This window comes from Homo sapiens, chromosome 3 (assembly GCF_000001405.40).
Source record: "Homo sapiens chromosome 3, GRCh38.p14 Primary Assembly".
NCBI classification, from domain to species: Eukaryota; Metazoa; Chordata; class Mammalia; order Primates; family Hominidae; genus Homo; species Homo sapiens.
Window position 1 is genome coordinate 146,163,286 of NC_000003.12, and position 8,322 is coordinate 146,171,607.

Below are 8,322 nucleotides of genomic sequence, written 5' to 3' on the forward strand. Positions count from 1 at the left end.
CTACAGGCGCTCGCCACCAGGCCCGGCTAATTTTTTTTTTTTTTTTTTGTATTTTTAGTCGAAACGGGGTTTCACCGTGTTAGCCAGGATGGTCTCGATCTCCTGACCTCGTGATCCGCCCGCCTCGGCCTCCCAAAGTGTTGGGATTACAGGCGTGAGCCACCAAGCCCGGCCTGATATGTCTTTTAACTCATCAAATCCAGATCCCACTCGGCTCCCTCATCTCTGTTGATACTACTGCTCTCTAACTCATATGGCCTCAGACATTTTTACTTCTCTCTTTCCATCCCCCACACCCGCCAACTCACAGAGCCGGACTCCAAATCTTGTCATTTTTTCCCTTCATGTTCTCTCTTCATCTATTCCTTTCCATTCTCACTGCTACCTCACTAACTAATGCACTCTTGAGTGTATCCTATGCCATTTCCTGTAGACTTTCCCTACCACCAGTGTAATACCACTATATACCACAACTAGATTAATCATACTCAGATATCCTTTTGATTGCTTCATCCCCAAACAGATTTCATAACAGATTTGGAAACAATCCACATTCCCTAACCTAGTATTCAGATTCCTTCATGCCAAACTAAACCCAACCAACGTAGTTTGCTTTATTATCTCCTAAAGCAGACCAAATACTTTGTCACTTTAATTCTCTAAAGTTTAGGTAGGAATCATTTGGGTTCCTCTGAAGCCCAAGCATGAGCCCAAATTCAGTGACTAGCGGTTTGTGGAGAGTTTTGAGAAAACCAGATAGGTGAAGCTAAAATGACACAGGAAAGGGAAAATATCCAATTAAATCAACCACAGTGGGTAATGGGAGCTTAATCCCACAAAATTGATGTACTATATATCACTCAAAAATATCCTGGTCAATGGGTCAGAGAACTGGGATATATATTCCCAACACCTATCAGTCATTGACTTAAGGGCTGAGGGACACTCATTAATTCCCAGGCATTCCCAACCTGCTATGGTAGCAGCCACTCTGATGATGTAACTCTTGATCATAAGAAGTCAGGGTGACATGCTCAGAAATGGTAAGGAAATTTGAGGAGAAATGAGAGAAGCAGCATTTGCTCAGCAACCATACCTTTGTTCATGTTATCCCTATATCTAAAAAAAAAAAGGATGACAAAACCTGTCCTCCTTCCTTCATTGGGCTAATGTCTGTCAAGCTCAAGTGCCACCTCCTACAGGAAGCCCAACTGGGGTAACTTACCCTACCTCAGGATGGGTTTAGATGTCCCTGTTCCATGATTTCTAACTTCTGAAGCAAACCTCTCTCATTTGTGACAGGGTCTTTTCTTAGAATTATTATTAGACAGTGTGTCTGTTAAGGTCAGGATTCAATTATTTTTCATCATCAAAGAGTAAGTACCATAGTAGCACATTTGTTTATTCATTGATTCATTCAAAAAATATTCCATGACTACTATATCTCAGGCATTGTTCTAGATAGATATTGGTAAAAACAAATTTATTAGTGACAGAAAAAACAAAAATCTACTGTGCTTTAGTTTCAGGTGAAACAGAGATAAACATATAAGGTAATAAGTGGTAGAGAGAAAGTAAATCAGGAAAGGTAACTGGGAAGGACCAATAAGGAGGGGAGGTATACCAAAACCTTAGTAAGGGATCCTGGGAAAGCCCCACTGAGAAGACGATTCTTGAGCAAAGACCTGAAAGTGGTGAGAAAAAGAGGGGGCCAGGATGTACAGGGGACCTGTGTTCCAGGCAGAAGAAACAGGAAGTGCAAGGACTGTGAGACCAGAAATACCTGGAGTGTTGTGAGGAAGCAAGAGGGCAATTGAATGTTCAGTGACTGTGCATAAGAATAGTAGGAGATGAAGCCTGAGAAGGTAACAAGCAGGGCGGAGGCAAGCAGATAAACAGACAGTGTGATAAGGGTAGAACCTAGTAACAGCTTTGTCCTTTACCCTGGATGAATTGAAAAGCCATTTGGATGGTTCTAAGCAGAGCAGTGACATGATCTGAAGTAGGATTTAAAAAGGATCACAGAGTCCACAGCTGCCACATTAGAGGAAGATAAGGGAGAGTGAGTGGAGAAATAAAACAGAAAGTCTGTAGACCTGTAGACCAACTTGAAAGCTAATGCAGTGGTCCAGGAGAGAGATGACGGAGGCTTTAAGCAAGTCAGTAGCAGTAAATGAAGGTCAATTTCCAGATAGATTTGAATGTAGAGTCAACAAAATTTGATGTCTGAATGTGGGCGTAGGAGAGAAAAAGGAGTCAACGAATATTTATTCAATGAATATTTGTGGAGTGAATAAGAAGTAAAGCTTTGGGAATTCGCGGAATAACCCTGGAGGTACAGAGGAAGGGGGATGTTAAATGAATTAGAGGACAAAGAAAAACCACCAGACATCCAAGAGCTGAAACTCAGAGAGGGCGGACCCTTTTGAGGAAAGAGGAAAAAAGAAATCAGCAAAGGAGACTGTTAAAGTCAGATAAATAGGAAAAGTATTACAGAAGAGAGACTGGGGAATAGGAGGAAGCCTCAGAGAGGTCATTGATTATAGCATTGGGAAACACAAGTTTAAGATCAGAACTTAGATGGGAGTAGAAACTACAGTGAATATAAGATATAAACTGGAGATGAGGGCTTAGAGAATACCATGAAGCAGAACTTTTGTGCTGTGACTCTTCATTCTAAATCAGGTCTCTGCTGCAGATGTCAGGGGATGACCTCTCTAATTTTAGGATGATCAAGTTGCCACAAATCTGAAGCTCCCCTTTATATATGAGAGGTTTGCAGTATAGTCCGTGGGCCCCAGCAGTTTTCCCTTTTAATTCTTTAAGCTGTAATTTGACAGGAATGATTTACCAGGTGACTTTTTCAAGGCTGAACGTCCTTTCAAACAAAGCCTATATGAGACCAACTACATTTTAAGAAGTTAAAAATAAAAAGAACCAAACAAAAATAGTAAAGGGAAGAATTTCCTAGGAGCTAGACTTAAACAATAAATGACCTGCTTAACACAAAAGTAAAACAGGTTTCCTCGTGCAACAAAAACAGTAATTTATCACAGGGAAAATGAGCATGGTTTATTTTCTGAGGTGTTTTATTTCTTTCATTTCTTATTTGTCTTCAAGAGAAGATAAGGACACTTTAAAGTATATTTTTTAAATAACACTAATTCTACGTTTTAGTCATCTTAGTGTGCTTATCTGGAATCTTCTTTCTGTGGATATGAGTTGTGAAACCCTTGTACCTAGCAAAATGATGTCAGATGTAAAACTAAGCTCAGCCAAGTTCAAAGTAAGAAGAGCATGCCAGGATAGGAAAGAATGCCAGCAAACACAAGTATTTTGAAGATGATTCTAGCAGATGTTTGTGACTAGTCAAAATGATTGGGCAGAACTGTCTAGGCCGTGAATCATCCTTCAGGGTCAGCAATCACTGTGGCATTCACATTCAGTCTTCCAAATATGTTTGACCAAAGTTCCACACGATGACCTACGTGTTGGCATAGGTAACACCAGATTAGCATTAATTATGATTAATCACCGTGTATAGTCAACATTTTCTTGTTCAACAGTAGTTTCTAATGATTTTTTTTTTTTTTTAACTGACTCTCTGCCCTTATAATCTCTCATTCTCCTGCTTCTCGGGACCATTTAGCTCCTTTCTCTGACATCTGCTCTGCCCAGAGGCAGATTTACCCTGAAACTATTGAAGCTTAAATGTCAATGCCCCTCACTTGCAAAGGCCCCTGTAAGTGCTAGGAGTGTCTGGGAGTTGTACGATATGCTAGGCTGGAAGGGAAGCCAAGCTGTAATCAGGAACAATCACTAAGAAAACACTTCTTGGAAACGGCCTGGGGAAATCTTAGAAAAAAGGGCCCTGAGCTCCAAGGATTCTCTAAATTATTGGGCTTTCTTTTCTTATTCTAAATAAGTACTCACTTCTTTATTTTATTTTATACTTGTAACTCACATAATCTTTTTTAAAAAGATCTCTAATGTTTTAGACCCCCATAAATTTTGACTGGCTTCTTGTCCTACCCCTAGAATCTAAAACCAATCCTTTCCGTAAGAATTGAGAACACAAGGAGTCTATGATCAATAATTCTTGGGCTCAGCATGCAATTGAATCTTTCTAAGTCAGTTCTGATTGTATGCTATACTCAATTTCTGATAATGATATTGTTACTTTATTCCTCTATGATTAAGCATGCCCTTATATACCTTGGTTCAAGTATTTTAGTCACTATTTTGGATCCCTGTCTGATTGCCTAATTCATCTCAGACTGAGATCTTTCCTGATCTTCTTCTAAGTTTTCCAGAAAATGGAGTTCTGTCACTTAATTGAATCTCTGAACCTCCTCAAGGCCTCCTGCCTGCATTGTCTTACCATCTGCTATTAGGTATTTCTTTACCTGTCTTTCCCATGGCTCTTAGTCTGCTGGTTCTGATCATCCCTATTCTGGCAGAGCTTTTTATGACGGACATGAGATTAACATACATTGATTACAAGTGTTTGATTCAACCAGAAACTTTCAGTTAAATAATTGTATTATAATTCTACTTGGTGAGATCTCTAAGGATGCTATCTTGAAATGAAGTATAGTCTACCTAAGAAAATATTGAGATCTATTATGTAATAGAAACAGTTGTAAAACTCTAATGTTAGATGTTATTTTGTTAAAGATGTAAATAACTCTAATATTAGATGTTATATAAAGAACAGAGAGCATAAAATCATAGAAAATTATAAAACTTTGGTCTTAGGGAAGTGGATATCCTTCAGAAATATGGCATAAAAGTACAAATGGTATTCCTAATCTGCCATTCTTAAAATCTGGGTAATGCATTATGTGGCTTTTTTTTTCCAAAAAAGGAAACATTTTTGCAATAGAACTGAAAGTAAGGAGAATTTACTTTAAAGCATATACCAATAGAGAAAAGCATGGCATTGGCCAGTGTGCCACACCATGCCCAGTCTCACTGCAGCACCTTAGAATTATAAGTGTTGTCTTCTTTAAGAGTATTTTTTCATTACAGGTTTCTAAAAGGGATGGTTTACATCAGGTATAATTTTCTGTATTATAGACACAGATCACAATGCACAGAGCCACTTCATCCTTTTTGAAGATCACTATAATGATCATGCAGCCCATTTGCTGAATGCATGTGAAATGGTCGGTGAACTCCCTGCAGACATCTTATTTTGCAAAGTTCTCTAACATTACATCACACCACTCTGATATTGAAAGGTAACCATTTGGTTACTGCCCTCTAATTATCTTTTACTTCAACCACAGTATTTTTCTTAATTACTGTTGCAGTGTTACTTTGTTAATGTCTGTGGGCCCTCTTTTTTTTTTTTCCAGCTGTTAATATGGTTCTTAAAAATTGGAATTCAGAGACTATTGACACCAATTTTATCCTAAAAACATTATTTAAGTGCAAAGGATTATCAGTATTTACCAAAAAAGGTTTTAGCTATAATAAAAGACAAATACTTATTTGAACAAGTTATTAAATAAAAATTTTTTCCTTAAACATTTTAAATTTCAAGAAATGAGAAATATTATCAAATCAACTACTTTAATGCCTTCTTTGAATTCTTCAGTTTTTCAATAATTATAATTTATTGCCTAAATCAAAATAAATAAATGATACAATTAGTAGCCACACAGCAAATTTGGCCAAAATCAATCCCAAAAGTCAAAAATCTCATTTTATCTTTATTCCACTTATGATTTTCTTAAAGTAGATGCACAGTTTTTCATTCAACAAATAGTTTTAGTGCAGGGACCACATTCCAGACACTGCTCTTTGTCTTTCAGCTTTCAAAATGAATTAGATCCTGCTTTCTCTTTGAATACCTACATACAAAAGCAAATCACTCTGCTAAATAATAAATTAAATTGTTATAACTTGATTTAGTCTGTAATATATCAAAATTAAAACATATTAAAGAAAAAATAAATTTTCTGAATTTGGGAAACTGGATTATTTTGAATATATTATAGTGTCCCAGATAAAATAATAATTTGAATTATCTTTTTAAGGTAATAGTTTGTTGTCATTTGTTGTTGATATCGCTAAGGTGTATTTGACAATGGTCTATAATTAAGTAATTAAAGTTACATAATTATTTCATAGTCAAGAAACTAATCAATTTTGACATTGCAGCCACCTAAAACCAAAAATACCACTTTTATTGTGAGAATAAAACAATAGAAGGTAAGTTACTAGAGTTTATTTGTAGTCTTTATTGTTGACAATAGGGCACATCCCCTCACTTTCACACGCACTAATTTCTTTCTCTATCACAAATTTGATTTCCATTTTTAAGAGGATGCTTTAAAGACTGCTCAACAATGACAGTATGAAATTATGTTGACCTCAAGTCTTTGACTCAGGCCAATCTGGGTTCCAATCCTGATTTTGCCACTTATCATCTATGAAACCCTGGGCTGTTTCTTAGCCTCTTGATTTGGCTGAAATTAAATAAAACTTATTATTGCACATATGAAGTTGTCCAGAGACAGGGAAGTCCCCAGGCACAGTCTATTAGGTCTCTGCCTCTCTTTCTCTCTGATGTTATTGGCCTGCCCTCCTATGGTTCTTGTACTGGTAACAACATGTTTGCAGAAGTCCTGGGCATTATGTTGACAGGAAGTTACCCAGAAAAAGAAAAAGAAGTGCTGATATTTCTGTCTTTACCCAGAAACTGCCTAGAAGACATCCCCTTGTGTCACTGGCCAGAATTAGGTCATGTGGCCATTTTTAAACCAATCGTGCCAGAGGAAAATGATTGCCATTCATGTTTAGCTTCATATCTATCCCTAGAGCTGTAGATGATGTCAGCTCTCTCTGAATCACACAGGAGACAGTTTGATTTGGAAACTTAAACAAAATTTAGGCCCCATGAGCAAGAATTATGAATGGTTGGGTAACCAACATAGTCCATTACCTATTAGTTGACTGCCTACCAAGGAAGATGGTAGATTGGCAGAAGTCTCTTTTCTCTCTCTGTCTTTCTGTTTCTCTATCTCTCTCTCTCTGTCTCTCTCCCCCCCCCAACACACACACACATACATACACACATTCACACTCACAAACATACCATCGCCAATCCTCTGCATGTGTGTCACAATTTTAGTTAGATTAATAGTGTTTGCATGATTGTGGTTGTATAAATAATATTTATTGTTAAGCTAAGTAATCTACCATAATTCAGTTTCCTTTCTTGTATGTTTTCTGCTTTTCCTGGAATTAATAATTGCCTTTTAAATTTATTTACTGTGTACTAAACTATCATTAAATTCTTTATTCAGTTGCTTAGTTTTCTATGTGCCACCACTACATTTTAATTCTTTGGGATAAGCTGTAAAACTTCAACCAATGGGGTCAGTCACATCCAGCAATTTCTTTGTCTTTTGTCTTGGAGATGACTCTCTTAGAGGAAACCTTCATCCTTCTCCTACCTGGATTGATGGAGCTGAAATTCCCATGGGATTTCTCATCATTGTAATCATTGGAATCCCTTAACTTCTCTCCTTTATTAGATCCTCATTCCTGTGATTCATTCCATTGTTTTGGTGGAACACATCCTCCAGTAACTTTCTGAGAAAAAGTTCATGAAATGTAAATGTTTTGAAACTTTTCATGCCTAAAAATCTACTCATTCCACTCTTATAAGTTAAATGCTAGTTTCAGCGAATATAGAACTTTAGATTGTTTTTCACTTTCCTTCAGTATTTCAGATTGTTTTATTGTTACAATGACTTCTGATCAAGCTTGTGTTTACCATCTGTATCTCTTCTCTCTCTCTCTGTCTCCCTCCCTCCCTCTATAATCTTTTGTATTCACAGTATTCTAAAATTCACAGTGACATAATGATGCATTTTGGGGTAAATCTTCTGTCATTCATTGTTTTGTGTATTCAGTGAACCATTTTTTGAAAAATTTTCCACTCCATTTTCTCTATTCTCTCTCCTATATTGATCCTCTAATTTCCTTACCTTCTCTGATTTTTCATTTATTTGCCTTTTTATTCTATTTAGAATATTATTTAAATGTATCTGCCTCTTTCAAATTTTTATTTCATAATTTGAATTTTAGAAGCCGTTTCTTATTTTCTGAATGTTCATCTTTAAATGTCAGTCCATTGTTTTATGAATACACTGTCTTTTAATTCTTCAAGTATAATAGAGTGGTTTTTTTAATCGTTTTCTTCAATTTCATGCCTGCGCTCTGTTTTCTTCAGTTCCTTTGTTTTGGCCACTATATTTATGTGAAAGCTTGCCTCATATGGTCCACTTATCCTTGACTTTCTAGTCA